This window comes from Homo sapiens, chromosome 2, assembly GCF_000001405.40.
Source record: "Homo sapiens chromosome 2, GRCh38.p14 Primary Assembly".
Lineage (NCBI taxonomy): Eukaryota > Metazoa > Chordata > Mammalia > Primates > Hominidae > Homo > Homo sapiens.
Window position 1 is genome coordinate 216043727 of NC_000002.12, and position 17630 is coordinate 216061356.

A 17630-nucleotide genomic window follows, 5' to 3' on the forward strand; every position below is an offset into this window, starting at 1 on the left:
TTCTGTGACTAGGAATATTTCATTAAAAAAATCACATCATGAATATAAACATTTTGTACATTTTGATGTTCTATAAGAGAGCACCCTCATCTCTTAAGTAACTACTTATAATAAATTTTAAACCCCTGAACATGACACAGCATAAAGCTGGTGACTGCTCATTCCTCAGCTGCTCACCTGGTACCTCATACGAGTGAGTATAGAGACTCCGGCCCCCATCCACATCCACCGACTGTCCAGTGATGAAGGAAGCTGCAGGAGACAGTAGGAAGCAGACCACAGAGGAGACCTGGAAACAGAAACACACATGTGCATAGGTAAAAGCAAATACTCCCCATTTCTAACCGCCTCACATTCCCCAGTAAAGGCATCTCAAAGCCCATGATTGTAACATGAATCCAACAGTGTGTGCATGTGCACCACAACCTCACAGTACATAGACAACTTCCTTTTCCTACAATTTCCCTTTCTACCTGAGCATCACCGAAATCAGGTAGGTGACTAGGGTAAAGGTGGCAAGGTATGAGGGAGCCTTAGACGATGTCAAGCAAGCTACATGACGTCAAGAAGCCATAAGTGAACTCAGTGCTTCAGCTCTGCTCTTTCCCATTTCAAACAATTCACTTCCTTCCATGCCTTTCATTGTCCTCCACAACCCCATTTTCCATCACTACCTCGTGCCTTTTATGTTTTGGTCCCTGAAATAGTCAATGTGTCTGTTTAGCAATAAACTAGCATTCTGGTTTGTTCAGTCTGCGGTCCTGTCAGGCCAAAAGCCCAGCAACACACATTCAAAGGAGCTCTCTACAAGAGGAACTTCAAAAACTTAGCCAGGCACAGTGGCGGGCACCTGTGGTCCCAGCTCCTTAGGAGGCTGAGGTGGGAGCATTGCGTGGGCCTAAGAGGTTGCAGTGAGCCAAGACTGCACCACTACATTCCAGCTTGGGTGGCAGAGTGAGACTCCATTTCAAAAAAATAAAAATAAAAATAAACCAAAGGCACTTCAGACTCCCACTGTACTCCTTAAAAATTCAAATAGGGAACTGATGAGTTCAGCAACATCTACTCCCAACCCAAACAGAAGGAAGTTATTTCACTGACTTGTAAAGGAGCTCTCACTTGAGGCTGTGGGAAGAAGCAGAGTTTCTCAAAGGGTGATGATCCAAAACACCTGCATTAGAATCACTAGGGATGCTTACTGAGACTTCAGATTCCTAGATCCTTCCAGGATCATTGCAATTGTAAGCTCTGGGGTTGGGGTCCCAGAATCTGCAGTTTAAAAGGCCCCCAGGCAGGGCCAGGACTAGGGTGAGGCAAATAAGGTGTCGAGGGTGCAAGATTTAAGGAGGTATTCACTCTCAGGTTTGCACAAGTGCAAAATCTTCCCTCAGAGGGAGTGGGTCCTTAAATTTTGTGTCCATGCCTTGCTTGCCTCATCCCAGTCCTGGTCCTATATTCACAAGGCTATACCTCCTTGAGACTCTAAGAGCTTGGAGAGCAGCCAAGCCTTCTCTCCATCCTTGTATTCCCAGCAGCTAGTACAGTGCTGCACTATCTAAAACGAGGCCATTAGACATAGTCGCCTACTCAAACACTTTCAGTATGACTGGTCCAAATTGAGACGTGCTGTAAGTATAGAACACACACTGGATTTTGAAGACTGAGTATGGGAAAAATAATGTAAAATATCTCATTAATCCTGGATGCTCCGAGGGATGAAGAAAATCATCTCAATTTTCCATGTTGATTACATGTTGAAATGACGATGTTTTGGATGTATTAGGCTAAGTCAAATATATTATTAAAATTAATTTCACCTCTTTTTACTTTATGTGGCTCCTGGTAAGTTTAAAATTACAAATGTGACTATTAGTATATTTCTACTGGACAGGGCTGGTATAGAATTCACTATTTAAAAGGTCCCACATTACTGTGAAAAGGCAGATTGTACTGAGACATGGTAACAAGCAACAGAGCTGGTTTTAACCCTGTTTGATCCAGTAGTGACAACTCAGCCAATGAACATGTTTGTTAAAGTCAGCGCATCAAAAAGAGACTTGCTCCAATGAGCTCCTTTCTGAAATGCCATCCAGACAACAACCATCCCACCCAAGTAGTCACAACCTCTAACAATCTGTAAACCACACTCCCTCAAAAACACAAAAAACCGGCCAGACGCGGTGGCTCACGCCTGTAATCCCAGCATTTTGGGAGGCCGAGGCAGGTGGATCACCTGAGGCCAGGAATTCGAACCAGCATGGCCAGCTTAGTGAAACACTGTCTCTACTAAAAATACAAAAATTAGCTGGGCATGCTGGTGCATGACTGTTAATCCCAGCTACTCAGGAGGCTGAGGCAGGAGAATCGCTTGAACCAAAAAAAAAAAAAAAAGTTTTTGTTTCTTTTTTTAAATGTAGCTATTTTAAAGTAAATGTTATTTATGTTAACATGTACTCCTTTATTACTATTTTAAAATGAATTAATAATATTTCTTAAATTTTGGTTTTAATTTCTAATACAGCAAATATAGATAATGTAAACCACATAAAGTATATATATATACATACATATATATATATATATATTTTTTTTTTTTTTTTTTTTGAGAAGGCGTCTCACTGTCACCCAGGCTGGAGTGCAGTGGCGCAATCTCTGCTCACTGCAACCTCCGTGTCCCGGGTTCAAGCAATTGTCCTGCTTCAGCCTCCCAGGTAACTGGGACTACAGGCATATGCCACCATGCTTGGCTAATTTTTGTATTTTTTAGTATAGACGGGGTTTCGCCATGTTGGCCAGGCTGATCTTGAACTCCTACCTCAAGTGATCCACCTGCCTTAGGCTTCCAAAGTGTTGGGATTACAGGTGTGAGCCACTGTGCCTAGCCTCCCAAAGTATTCTATCAAAAATAAAAATGTAATATAATTGCCTTGATTAAAATTCATTAAATATTACTCTTAGTTTTCAGAATACAAATCCAAAGACCTTGGTTAACATGGCTCATCAAATGTTTGATTTAACAGTATCTTCCAAAATACAATGCAAGTCTATTTTGGTTCAGGAACTCTGTTTCTAGAAACATATCCCCTCACCCAAGAGTACATGATTATATTCATAATGTTCATTGCAGAATTACTGCAAGAACAAAAATATAAATAAAATCCAAATCATAATGGGATTTGATGATATTATAGTATACCCATAACAAGTTTCAGAAAATAACACAGAGTAAATTCTGTTTTCGTAAAAAAGTCAATAAATAGGCCAGGCGTGGTAGTTCACGCCTATAATCCCAGCACTTTGGGAGGTTGAGGCAGGTGGATCACCTGAGGTCAGGAGTTCAAGACCAGCCTGACCAGCATGAAGAAACCCTGTCTCTACAAAACTAGCCAGGTGTGGTGGCGCATGCCTGTAATCCCAGCTACTCTGAAGGCTGAGGCAGGAGAATCGCTTAAACCCAGGAGGTAGAGGTTGTGGTGAGCCGAGATCGTGCCACCGCACTCCAGCCTGGGCAAGAAGAGTGTAACTTCGTCTCAGGAAAAAAAAAAAAAAAGTCAACAAATACAAATTTTTAATGCATGCAAAGTACATTTCTGGAAAGACATTCACCAAACTGATAATAAAAGCTAGTTCTAAGCATGATAACTCTTTTAAAGAGTTTCATGGGCTTGCTTTTATAATTATCACTTCAATAAATCTGAAAGTTATTTTGTATATAATACAGGATAGGGAGTCTAATTTATTACTAAACGGCCAAATGCCCCCAACACTTTGCTGAGTGTTTTATCCTTTCCTTACAGATTGAAATGCTACTTTGACTCCATAAACTCCCACATATGGTTCCAATTCAAGAATCTGTTCTGTTCTACTATTTTTAATATGTTTCATTACCAGCACCAGATGCTGTAAATAAATACAGCTTCATAGTATGTAAATACACAGTACATAAATAAATATAGCTTCATGGTTTCATTATACCATGAAGGGTAATCCTCCCATTATTCATTTTCAAAACATTTTTGGCAATTTTTGCATACATATTTTTGATAGAATCAGCGTGTTAAATTCCCAAAAGATATTAAATTTATAATTTAGGGAAACCTGACTTTTTAATAAAATTGGTTCTCCCCATCAAGGAATATTATATGCCCCTAATCTGGTCTTTTTGCTGCTTCACAGAAAAAGGGGTTTTTTTGTTTTGTTTTGTTTTTTTCATTTATGAAACTGATGCACTGCCTACTGCCCTAAGGAGGCAGGTGATTTTTTTTTTTTTTCATTTAGAGGTAAGTTTACTACTAGTTATTTTCATTTTTATTATTGTGGGAAAGACATCCTTTTCTTTTCTTTATTTTATTTTATTTTATTTTTTGAGATAGAGTCTTGCTCTGTCGCCCAGGCTGGAGTGCAGTGGTGCAATCTCAGCTCACTGCAAGCTCCGCCTCCCGGGTTCACACCATTCTCCTGCCTCAGCCTCCCCAGTAGCTGGGACTACAGGTGTCCGCCACCACACCCGGGTAATTTTTTTGTATTTTTAGTAGAGGCGGGGTTTCACCGTGTTAGCCAGGATGGTCTCGATCTTCTGAACTCGTGATCCGCCTGCCTCGGCCTCCCAAAGTGCTGGGATTACAGGCATGAGCCACTGCGCCTGGCCTTGTTTTCTTAAAAAAAAAAAAAAAAAAAAATTGCATTTCAAGACTGATGCAAAGCTAGGTGTGGCGGCTCACACATGTAATCCCAGCACTTTAGGAGGCTGAGGTGGGCGTATCACTTAAGGTCAGTAGTTCGAGACTAGCCTAGCCAACATGGTGAAACTTCGCCTCTACTAAAAACACAAAAATCAGTCAGGTGTGGTGGCATACATCTGTAATTCCAGCTACTCGGGAGGCTGGGGCAGGAGAATTGCTTGAACCCAGGAGGTGGAAGTTCCAGTGGGCCAAGATCGCGCCACTGCACTCCAGCCTGGGCAACAAAGAGACTCTGTCAAAAAAGTCATCGTCTTCATCATCGTCATCATCATCATCCCAGCACTTTGGGAGGCCAAGGTGGGAGTTCAAGCCTGCAGTGAGCTATGATCGTGACACTATACTTAGCCTGTAACAGAGTGAAACACTGTCTCAAGCAAAAAAAAAAAAAAAAAAAAAAACCGCTGCTGGCAGTTTGGAAAGCTGCTGATTTTACAGACTTCAACCTTAACCGAAATCTCATGTGGAACTTCATATGGCCATAGTTGTCTAATTTGCTTAGGGTCCTGTGTACCAACAAATGCCATGTAATAAAATAATGTAGCTGAAAATACAGTAAAACAAACTAACAAAAAAAATGCTGTTATTAATTTATACCACATTCACTCTCAAGTACAGATTGCTGTCAGTAGCCAAAGCACAACCAGAATATCCCTGACAGCCAGAAAGAACAGGGGAAATGTTCTGCTGGCAGTGGGAGAAATAATGTCGTCCAGACCGCATAAAAATGACACTGAATTACAAATTCCAAAGTATAACACACAGCAATTCTAATCAATGCTGGAAATATACCTTACCTCCTCAGGAACACCAATTCGTTTAGCGGGGATTTTCTGAAAAGACCCTTCAAAGAAGCTTTGTCCCCAGGAACCATAGTTCTCCACAGCAGTCTGGGAATAAATAACTCCCTGTGTTTAAAAATAAAACAGGGACAAAATAAAGTGTATTATATTAAATTTTAATTATAAAGATATCAAGATACTCTACTGGCATTTCAAACATTAAGTAGCTTAAGTCAAAAAAAAGTTAACAGTGCTGATATTAAATTTCCTCCATGTTGTCAAAGAAGTACAGTCCCCACCATCCACAAATGGATGATCTGAATAGTTATTTTGTGACCTCCTCTTCCTCCTAACCATGCCCTGGATTTTTTCATGAAAGACTTGTTTTCTGAAGGTCATGATTGTGTAAGTAAATGAAAGAGGCACTTAACTGGGAACAATGGGACAGGGGACTCTGTCTATTTTAGTTTCCATTTGGCTTCTCTGCTTTACAAGAGAAGACTGGGCAATGGCTACGTGAGACTTAGAAAAATGCAATATTTTCTTGGCTTTTTACCTAGATTGAAATCGCAAATAAAGCATTTGAGTCCAATACCAATAAACTAAATTTTTCATTGTTTAGGAATTTTTAAATGTATCTTTCACTGGCTTTCTAAGGTCAGGAAAATTACTCAAAAACTGTATCCCAGGCCAGGTGCAGTGGCTCATGCCTGTAATCCCAGCACTTTGCGAGGGTGAAGCTGGAGGATTGTGTGAGCCTAGGAGTTTGAGACCAGCCTGGGCAAAATAGGGAGACTATGTCTCTACAAAAAATATAAAAAAGAATTAGCTGGGCATGGTGGTACCTGCCTGTGGTCCCAGCTACTCAGGAGGCTGAGTTGGGAGGATCGCTTGCGCCCAGGAGTTCGAGGCTGCAGTGAGCCGTGATCGCACTACCGCACTTCAGCCTAGGCAACACAGCAAGACCTTGTCTCAAACATTTAAAAAAAAAATTGTATCTCACAGGATACAGCTATTTGTAATGGATTCAAACTGTTGAATTATGGAGAGAAGGGGCGGAAAGAGAAGTTAAAATAAAATTAGAAAATGTGGCAGTTTTAATAACTTCAAATGATACTGATACTGGAGAGATATATTGGTTTCCAATTACATAATATGTTGCCTTTTATTTAAAGAGGATAAAATCTAGAAGTATTAAAATTTGATCATTTAACCAAAAAAGTCTCTGGAAGGCAAACATGAATTAATATTAGTAGCAACACCTTTGTCAGAGATGAGATTACTAACTTCATGCTTGAAGTCAGTCATGCATAGTCTTCATTGAGTGGCACAGATAACACCTACTGATATTACAGAGATAAGATCTATAGATAGGCTGGGCGCAGTGGCTCACGCCTGTAATCCCAGTACTTTGGGAGGCAGACGTGGGTGGATCACGAAGTCAGGAGATCGAGACCACGCTGGCTAACACAGTGAAACCCCGTCTCTACTAAAAATACAAAAATTAGCCAGGGGTGGTGGCAGGTGCCTGTAGTCCCAGCTACTTGGGAGGCTGAGGCAGGAGAATCACTTGAACCCAGGAGGCAGAGGTTGCAGTGAGCCAAGATCACGCCACTGCTCTCCAGCCTGGGCAACAGAGCAAGACTCCTTCTAAAAAAAAAAAAAAAAAGCCAGAATCAAGAATCACTGGTTTAACATTCTTGACAATCTGGCTGTAAATCAAAGAGTACTTCCATAATGATAATTAGACCTTCTGGGCCGGGTGCGGTGGCTCACATCTGTAATCCCAGCACTTTGAGAGGCCATGGCGAACAGATCTCCTGAGCTCAGGAGTTCGAGACCACCCAGGGCAATATGGTGAAAACCCATCTCTACTAAAATCCAAAAAATTAGCTGGGCATGGTGGCTTGTGCCTGTAGTCCCAGCTACTTAGGAGGCTGAGGCACAAGAATCACTTGAGCCTTGGAGGTGGAAGTTATAGTGAGCCACGATCATGCCACTGCACTCCGGCCTGGGCGACAGAGACTCCATCTCAAAAAAAAAAAAAAAAAAAAAAGAAAATTAGGCTTTCCATTTTATCTATGTTTTAAAGTCAATCTTTTATGCTATACTTGCTTATTACCAAATACCTCTATCAACATCACAAATGGAATCAGAAAGCATAATTTGTCAATAAATTTCAATATAGATCGTTTACCTACAGGGGCAACACAATTGATCCGTATTCCACTGCAGGCCCATTCCAAAGCTAAAGATTTGGTGAGGTTGTAAACACCTGCTCTTGCAGCTCCAGAATGCCTTTGAAAGACAAAACATAAACATGACAATCAGCTTCTGTTGAATATTTCTCTTGTTCATCAAGCTCACAAGTGTGCCAACTACCTGACAGAATTCCACAAGAGACTTCTTGCTATGGAGTCTGTCTTGTTGAGCTTCTGTCTAAACAACGAAGAAAAAACTATGTCCTTCAATATTAAATCCAAGCCACAGCTGATGATCAAGCAAATCTCACATGGCATAGACCCAGATAAGGCTCCCCAAATCACTACGTAAGAGGAATACTTTAAAGAACTTTGATTACAAAGGAAAACACATTGGTAATTTTAAGGATTTCAAGCCTGTGGTTATTTTTAACATCGATTTTAAATAACAAAGGAGGCCAGGTGCAGTGGCTCACACCTATAATCCTAGCACTTTGGGAGGCCAAGGCGGGCGGATCACCTGAGGTCAAGAGTTCAAGACCAGCCTGGCCAACATGGTGAAACCCCATCTCTACTAAAAATACAAAAATTACCGGGCATGGTGGCAGGTATCTGTAATCCCAGCTGTTCAGGAGGCTGAGGCAGGAGAATCGCTTGACCCTGGGAGATGGAGTTTGCAGTAAGCTGTTATCACACCACTGCACTCCAGCCTGGGCAACAGAATGAGACTCCATCTCAAAAATAAATGAAGTATGGGGTCTTGTGTAGATAGACACCATGGCTTAGAATTTCTAATGACAAGATCCTCAAAACCAAATATAGGATAATTTAATGTGAGAAAATTAACTTATACAACTAATTAGGAAAACTCTTTCAATCAAAGGTATTTGAAATCAGCTGGTAAAAAACAGATTATTTAGTAAATAATGGACTTCCTTTAACATTTATTTTAGCATAGGTCTGCTGGTGATAATTCTTGCAGATTTTATATGTTTGAAAAAGTCTTTAATTCATCTTTGTTTTTGAAAGATATTTCAATGGATAAAGAATTCCAGGTTGGCATGGTTTTTTCTGTTGGCACTTTAAAGATGTTACACCACTAACTTTTAACTTGCATTGGTGCTGATGAGAAATCTGCTTCTGTATACAATGTGTCTTTTTCCTCCAGCTGCTTTTAAGACTTTCTCTTTAGCACTGGTTCTCAGCAATATGATTATGATGTGCCTTGTACACTTTTCTTCATGTTTCTTGTACTGGGGTTTGTTGAGCTTCTTCGATCTATAGGTTTACAGTTTTTATCAAATTTGGAAAATTTTCACCCAGTGTCTTCAAATTTTTTTCCGTCCCTGTTTCTCATGTCTCTTTCAGAGACTCCAACTGTCTCACAGTTCACGAATGCTCTGTTTTTGTTTTTTGTGTTTTTCAGACAGAGTCTCGCTCTGTCACCCAGGCTGGAATGCAGTGGCATGATCTCGGCTCACTGCAACCTCTGCTTCCTGGGTTCAAGTGATTCTCCTGCCTCAGCCTCCCGAATAGCTGGGTTTATAGGAGTGCGCCATCACGCCTGGCTAATTTTTGTATTTTTAGTAGAGATGGGGTTTCAGCATGTTGGCCAGGCTGGTCTCAAACTCCTGACCTCAGATGATCTGCCCGCCTCAGCCTCCCAAAGTGCTGGGATTACAGGCATGATCCAGCACACCCAGCCTCAACTGAACATTTTACAAATTGAGTATGCCTTATTCAAAATGCTTGGAACCAGAAGTGCTTTGGATTTCAAATCTGTTCTGATTTTGTTTTGTTTTGTTTTGTTTTGAGATGGGAGTCTCACTCTGTCACCCAGGCTGGAGTGCAGTGGCATGATCTCGGCTCACTGCAAGCTCCACCTCCTGGGTTCACGCCATTCTCCTGCCTCAGCCTCCCGAGTAGCTGGGACTACAGGCACCCGCCACCGTGCCCAGCTAGTTTTTTGTATTTTTAGTAGAGACGGGGGTTTCACCGTGTTAGCCAGGATGGTCTCGATCTCCTGACCTCGTGATCTGCCTGCCTCGGCCTCCCAAAGTGCTGGGATTACAGACGTGAGCCACCGGGCCTGGCCAAATCTGTTCAGATTTTGGAATATTTGCATATACTACCTGGTTTAGCATCCCTAATCTGAAAATCCAAAATCTGAAATGCTCCAAAAAGCATTTCCTTTGAGCATCCTATTGGTGCTCAAAAATTTTCAGATTTTGGAGCATTCTGGATTTTGAGTTTTCAGATCAGGATGCTCAACCTATATTTGTGTAATTTTTCTTTTTCAGTGCCTGTTATCTAAGGTTGTAGAAAAAGACCTTCTCTATTGCCTCTTAAAAATGCAATCTCTAGCTTCCCTAAAAAATGGAAGGAATCAGAATGTTGAAAAGATACTAAAGAAATCAGCAAAAATATATATTTTTTTAATCCACACTTTTCAACTGGTAAACTTGTGTTTTTCAAGTTACTTCCTGGTGTATTGTTTTTCTCCCAGTTCTATTTGGATGACCTTTAGACTCTTATGAAAGAAATGACTGAGATAGGCTGGGTGCAGTGGCTCATGCCTGTAATCCCAGCACTTTGGGAGGTTGAGGCAGGTGGATCACATGAGGTCAGGAGTTCGAGACCAGCCTGGCCAACATGGTGAAACCCCGTTTCTACTAAAAATACAAAAATTTTAGCTGGGCATGGTGGCAGGTGCCTGTAATCCCAGCTACTCAGGAGGCTGAGACAGGAGAATCACTGGAACCCAGGAGGTGGAGGTTGCAGTGAGCCGAGATCGCACCATTGCACTCCAACTTGGGCAACAAGAGTGAAACTCCATCTCAAAAAAAAAAGAAAAAAAAAAAAGAAAAGTAGGAAATAACTGAGATAGTAGGTTAAATAAGGTCACTAAGTTCTTTTTTCTTTCTTTTTTTTTTTTTTTTTTTGGAGGGGGTACAGAGTCTCACTCCAACCTCTACCTCCCAGATTCAAGTGATTCTCATACCTCAGCCCCCCGAGTAGCTAAGATTACAGGTGTGTGACACCACACCTAGCTAAATTTTGTATTTTTAGTAGAGATGGGGTTTCACCATGTTGCCCATGCTGGTCTCGAACTCCTGACCTCAGGTGATCTACCCACCTCAGCCTCCCAAAGTGCTGGGATTACAGGCGTGAGCCACTGCATCCAGCCCCACTGACTTCTTTTCTGAAAAAATAAATATCTATTGCCCATGGAAAAATTAATCAAAATCAGAATATGAGTCAAATATGTCAAATTCCATTACGGTGAACTTCACAAGTTATTCCAAATTCTACAGTCATAGATGTTGTAAATTGGTCATTAGTTAAAAAATGAATTTGGGGTTATTCAAAGATACTTAATGTAGGCCAGGCGTGGTGGCTCACGCCTGTAATCCCAGCACTCTGGGAGGCCGAGGCAGGCGGATCACAAGGTCAGGAGTTCAAGACCAGCCTGGCCAGCACAGTGAAACCCCGTCACTACTAAAAATACAAAAAGTTAGCCGGGCATAGTGGCGTGCACCTGTAATCCCAGCTACATGGGAGGCTGAGTCAGGAGAATTGCTTGAACCCGGGAGGCGGAGGCTGCAGTGAGCAGAAATTGCACCACTGCACTCCAGCCTGGGTGATAGAGCGAGACTGTGTCTTACAAAAAAAAAAAAAAAAGACACTTAATGTAAAAACAACTTGTAGGCCAGGCACAGTGGCTCACGCCTGTAATCTCAGCACATTGAGAGGCCAAGGTGGGCACATCACCTGAGGTCGGGGGTTCGAGACCACCCTGAGCAACACAGAGAAACCCCGTCTCTATTAAAAATACTAAATTAGCCGGGCATGGTGACGCATGCCTGTAATCCCAGCTACTCAGGAAGCTGAGGCAGGAGAATCGCCTGAACCCAGGAGGCGGAGGTTGTGGTGAGCTGCGATAGTGCCATTGCACTCCAGCCTGGGCAACAAGAACAAAATTCCATCTCAAAAAAAAAAAACAAAAAAACAAAAAAACAAACAAACAAAAAAAAACACTTGTAATAGGACTAAACCTAGTACATAAATATTCCCAAAAAAGGACAACTAGATAATGCTCCCCCAAACTATGACTCCCAAATCCTCATCATTCTTGAGCTTTTCTTTGTAATACATACTTGAATATAAATGTTTTCCTTCTCAACCATTAAGAGTAAAAAGATCCTCCAAAGAAATGCCTTAGTTGTGATAACCCTGCAGATTTAAGCGCCCTCCTGGATGCACAGCCCCAGAGCCCCAGGGCCACAGGCTCTAGTGTAGGAACCCCTGATGCACTTCAAACTCCTCTCCCTGGTAGTTAAGGCCTTTTGTGACTCCCACTCCATTCCAAGGTATTAATTTCCATTTAGCCGTACCACCCATCATCACAAAGAATTATTTGTAGTTCCCAAAAGTGCCACAGTGTCTCAAATTTCTGTGTCTTTACACAGTAAATGTCTCATTGACTTGCCTTCCTTTCTCCTCCTCATATGTCACCAAACTCGAGTTCACCTTTGAGACATGTCGCCTGGATGCTGCCCTCCTCTGTGCTCCTTTTATCTTGCACACTTGCAAATACCTTTACTGGAATATCCAACACCTTCTCTCTCTAGCTGATTATTTTCATGCTTTGCTCCCCTACTAGTTGTAGACTCCCTCAGAGTGTGGATGGTATCTGATTCATTTTAGTATTTCCAGATGTATCTTGCACATGTACCTGTACTGGTCAAGTAAACAAGCGACAGCCAACAGTTTCAATTTGTCTCTTAAGAGAGCTAAAATTTAAAAAAAAGGAGTGCTCAATCTCTGACATTCATCCTCCTCTTCTATTGTAGAGGATACCTAAAGCCATGTCTTTCAAATTGTAAATTACAACACAATGCTAATAGTGAAATAAAATTAGCAAGTAATAAGCAGCAAGTGTAAAAAAAGAAAATACAACAGAGTAGACCACAATAAAATTGAAAATATCAGCCGGGTGTGGTGGCTCATGCCTGTAATCCCAGCACTTTGGGAGGCTGAGGCAGGTGGATCACCTGAGGTCAGGAGTTCGAGACCAGCCTGACCAACATGGTGAAACCCCGTCTCTACTAAAAATACAAAAAACTACTGGACGTGGTGGTGGGTGCCTACAACCCCAGCTACTCAGGAGGCTGAGGCATAAGAATCACTTGAACCCAGGAGGCAGAGGTTGCAGTGAGCCAAGATCGCCCCATTGCACTTCAGCCTGGGCAACAGGAGCAAAACTCCATCTCAGAAAAAAAAAAAAAAAAAAAGGAAAGAAAGAAAAATCAGAGTGCACAATACATAGTAAGAATGTTTGCTTCACGAATTTTGTTTTGCCTATAGACACATATACACATATGTGTTTACTAGGTCAAGATGTAAAATTTCTTACTATGAGTCATGGTCCAAAGTGTGAAGGCCACTGGAAAAGGAAACGATTCTTAAGAGAACAAAAGCAAGAAGTATCTGAAACACTTCTTTTCCATGTTAAAGACAAGCTGTGTTTTTTTTCTAGCCAACCGAATATCAGAAAAGCCAGTGATTTCATTTCAAAAATGTATTTTAAGAAAAGAAACTCTCATTACTTCTTACATATGCATGAAAGAGGACACATTTCACTCATAAAGGAACTACAACTTTTCTAAAGGGCAGTTTGGCAATATCTCTTAAAATTACAAAGGCATTTGGCTTTGGACTTAGCAATTATACCTCTTGCAATTTAGGCTACACACTATCTGATGTACAGAAAATGTTACTTACTGCAGGTGTTTAGTTTGGTTTTGGTAATAACAAAAGGTTGGAAACAACCCAAATGCTCACCAACTGGAAAATGGTTACACAAATCATTCCTTACTTATGGTTTATAAAAGTGGCATATTAGCCATAAAAAAATAAGAAGAAATCTCTTTAGACTCTGTTAAGAAAATATCTCCAGGATATTTGCTTCATTTGAGAACATCAAGATACAGAATAGTGTTTATAGCATCCTAAATTTGTGGTTAAAATGTAGGAAAAAGATATGCCCCCAAAACTATTAACACTAGTTGCCTGTGAGGATGGGAAATGCCAGAAAGAACCTACAATCTGAATTATTTCTTCCAAGATGCTAAAATAGGTAAATACATTTAGTAAAGAATAATGAGCAGGAAAAGAAGGTAGAGTGGTATCAATGGCCTGCACACCATTTTTTACTCTGTTTTTAGTAACATCACATTGATTTCCACTTGAGGAAGTACCTCTTGCCTGTTCTCAGTCCATGTCTGAGCGATGATGACCACAGTTCCTCATTCCTCAGGCTGACCATGCATAGCAGAGCAACCTCATTTCTACAGTTTTTGGTTAATGACTGAACACATAACCAGGCAGGGTCAGTTAATGAGTATCCTCTCTGGGACCTGCTGGCACCATTAATATTGTTTTTGCTGGCATGACTTGAGAGGCACTCTCTCACTGGAGAGTTAAGAACAGCTAGAGTGTTGACCTGTAACTCTTGCTAGTACTCGCCTTTTGCCACACCTAGAGACAGCCTGCCTGAGAATGTACGCAGACATGAAGAAAGCAAAACCAAAAGGAGAGGCAGCTTCCTGCTAACATTGTGGCTGAACCTAACATGCCCTTTCCGCAGTGGCTCTGCAGGTACCAGGATCCCCTCCAGGGCTTGCACGACGGCTGCGCTCTGCCCCCAGAGTTTCTCTTGCAGCAGATCTGGTGTGGGGCTGGATAATTTGCTGTGCTAACAACTTCTCCCAAGTGATGGGGATGTGGCTGGTCTGGAAGCCACTTTTGGAGAACCACTGCCCTAGATTTTTACTTAAGCCAAGTTGAATTTTATTTTTATCCTATACATGTTTGGGAGTTCTGCATAATCCAGGAAATGAGCAGGGTACTAAAATTTGCATAAAGGAGGCATGCTGTCTGTGTACAGAGTGGCTAATCAGAGGCACAAAACCTTAGAAACTTTTGGAGAAAAAATCCTGGATTATCTGTTAGGAGGAACAACTTAGCAGTCCTGTGTAAAATCAAGTAGCTATATTAATGGTATTCAAATCTAAATTAACACAGATTAGTTTCATTTCTATACTTTAACAAATAAGCTATTCCTAGACAGTGATGGCCAGTTTAGTCACATCGGGATTAGAGTTGCCCAAGAAAACACAAGACATCCAGTTTAATCTGAACATCAGACAAAAAACAAATACTATTTTCCCTTTCCTTGGTAAATCTGGCAGTCCGCATCTGGATGAAAATGTTTTAGAAGTACTTTGAATTTTAAGTTCAAATAAAATAAAATGTTAACTGTTAGAATCACAGCTCATTAAAGGTATTAATGATCTTGATTTAAGAAATGTTCCCTAACATGCTTCCCCCAATCAGAAGACAAAACTCAAAGACTTAGAAAGAAAACTATATAAAAACGCTTACACAGCTAATGGAAATCCAGCTTTAGTAGGGACAATGATATTGACGATAGATCCTCCATGCTCTTTCATCCAGGAGCTGTAAACTGCAGGATAGAGGCAAACTCAATCATTAAATTTTTAAAGTATCCTGGCCCTCCTGATACCTTGTTTCAGCACACTGCCTGTTTGATATGTTTTACACGTCCATTTACATTTCCTTATAAAAAGCCTGACTGAGGTAAAATTTATACATCATAAAATTCATCTACTTTAAGTGTGCAATGTAATGACTTTTAATAAATATACGGAGTTATGCAACCATTACCACAATCCAGCTTGAGAACCTTTCCATCACCCCAAAAAGTTCCTTCACACCCATCTGCAGCTTAACCCATCCCCAGGTAAACACTCATCTTTCTGTTTCTCTAGATTTGCCTTTACCTTTTCGAAAATCTAATGTAAAGTGAATCACACAATACGTGGTCTTTTGTGTCTAACTTCTTCCACTTAGAATCATGTTTGTGAGGTTCATCCACGTTGTAATGTGTTAATAGTTCCTTTTTGATTGCCGAGTAGTATTCCATTATGTGGATATGCCATGTTTTATTTATCCACTTATCAGCTGATAAACATTTGGATAGTTCCACTTTGGAGCAATTATGAATACAAATCTTTGTGTGGTCATATGTTAACTCTGTTTAGCTTTTAAAGAAACTGCCAAATGGTTTTCCAAAGTGTCCCTCCCCATTTTACATTGTTCTCAGAAATGCATGGGGGATGTAGTTTCTACACGCCACTGCTGTCTGATTTTTTGATAATAGCCATCTAGTGGGTGTGAAGTGGTATCACACTGGAGTTTTTATTTGCATTTCCCTAATGACTATAATCATGTTGATCTATATATCTAGCCTATGTCAGTACCACACTGTCTTAAAATCAAGAAATAGCTTTGCAATCAAGAAGCATTAAGTCCTCCAACTTTCTTCTTTTGCAAAATTGTTTTGGCTATTCTGGGCCCTCTGCATCTCCATATGTAGTTTAGGATCAGTTTGTTAATTTCTACAAAAATTGACAGGGATTGCTCTGAATCTACAGATCAATTTGGGAAGAACTAACACATTAACAATATTGGACCTTCTAACCCATAAACACTGAATATTTTTACATTATTTAAATCTTCTTTGATTTCTCTCAGCAATGTCTGGCAGTTTGTGGCATACAAGTCTTACACTTTTTTGTTAACCTCATTGTTAAATATTTTATTATTTATATATGCTTGAAAACATATATGAAAAATATATGAAAACATATAAAACCATTTGATTTTAGCACAAGAAAGGAGAATAACCATTTAAATTATTCTACACACACCTTCCGCTTCTGGATAAATACCACCATATACATATATTTATTTATTTCCTAGTTCTGAAAATGTCTACAAGTAATGATAACCCAGTAGTAGTGAACACATGTAGTACCCAAATCTCGCCTTCTAAAAATCATTCCCGGCTAGGAGTGGTGGCTCACACCCGTAATCCCAGCACTTTGGCAGGTCAAGGTGAGAGGATCACTTAAGGCCAGGAGTTCAAGACCAGCCTGGGCAACAGAGAAAAACTCTGTCTCTATGAAAAATTAAAAAATTAGCCTGGCATGGTGTCATGTGCCTATAGTAGCAGCTGCTCGGTAGGCTGAAGCGGGGAGGATTGCTTGACCCCAGGAGTTCAAGGTTGCAGTGGGCTATGCAGCCTTGAACCACTACTCTCCAGCCTGGGTGACAGAGCAAGACTCTCTCTCCAAAAAGTAAATAAATAAATAAGCAAACAATAATTATTATTACCTACTAAAGGGAACTAGGTCTTCTTGGAGAAACAGGTCTGAGCCATTTCAAAAAGACACAGAAGCCAGATTAGCTGGTCAACTAGAACATCAGAGAGAAAATGACAATAATGGGTTAGAAATACTGAATAAAAATAAATTCCATTCATCAATAGTAAGGCTTAGGAGGTGAGAAAAAAAGGAAAAACTCATCTTTATAAAAGAATGCCAATTAATAAATAAATAAGGCATAAATTTTTAAAATCATCATTTTGCATCTTCCAATTCTGAAACTGAATCGGGCAAGAATCAAAAATGGAATGAGCCGGGAGCAGTGCCTCACACCTATATCCCAGCACTTTGAGAGGCAGAGGCGGATGGATGGCTTCAGCCCAGGAGTTTGAGACCAGCCTCGGCAACAAGGGGAGACCCCGGCTCTACCAAAAAAAAAAAAAAAAAAAAAAAAAAATTAGCTGAGCATGGTGGTTAGTAGCCTAGTATGCACCTGTACCTCCAGCTACTCAGGAGGTGGAAGAATCGATTGAGCCCAGGGGGTGGAGGCTGCAGTGAGCCACGATCACATCACTGCACTCCAACCCAGGTGACAGAGTGAAACCCTGTCTCAAAAAAAAAAAAAAAAAAAAAAAAAAAAAAAAGGAACCTAAACCC

At 40.7% G+C, this 17630-nt stretch overlaps 1 protein-coding gene across 7 annotated transcripts in view, besides 2 other annotated features; it reads right to left on the reverse strand.

Moving 5' to 3' along the window:
* The window catches only part of PECR (peroxisomal trans-2-enoyl-CoA reductase), a 52722-nt gene that overhangs the window by 14639 nt on the left and 20453 nt on the right, over positions 1-17630 (reverse strand). For 4 of the 7 annotated variants that reach the window (XR_007078553.1, XR_007078552.1, XR_001738847.3 and 1 more), the window contains exons 4-7: positions 15169-15250; positions 7723-7819; positions 5537-5647; positions 178-289 (exon numbers count right to left, since the gene is read on the reverse strand). Coding sequence is in view for 4 of the 7 variants with exons in the window: in NM_018441.6 (NP_060911.2) it covers positions 178-289; positions 5537-5647; positions 7723-7819; positions 15169-15250 (402 nt within the window). In the remaining 3 variants the exon portion in view is untranslated. Of the gene's footprint in view, positions 1-177; positions 290-5536; positions 5648-7722; positions 7820-15168; positions 15251-16983; positions 17065-17630 lie in introns of those variants that run through there. The other 3 variants (XM_047445108.1, XM_047445106.1, XM_047445107.1) reach the window with 3 other exon arrangements.
* Positions 14222-14401: an enhancer, noted in NCBI's record as "active region_17084". NCBI's record gives its function as "activates an Ori minimal core promoter by ATAC-STARR-seq in GM12878 lymphoblastoid cells {active_cell/tissue: GM12878}" and the evidence as "EXISTENCE:reporter gene assay evidence [ECO:0000049][PMID:35858748]".
* Positions 14462-14521: an enhancer, noted in NCBI's record as "active region_17085". NCBI's record gives its function as "activates an Ori minimal core promoter by ATAC-STARR-seq in GM12878 lymphoblastoid cells {active_cell/tissue: GM12878}" and the evidence as "EXISTENCE:reporter gene assay evidence [ECO:0000049][PMID:35858748]".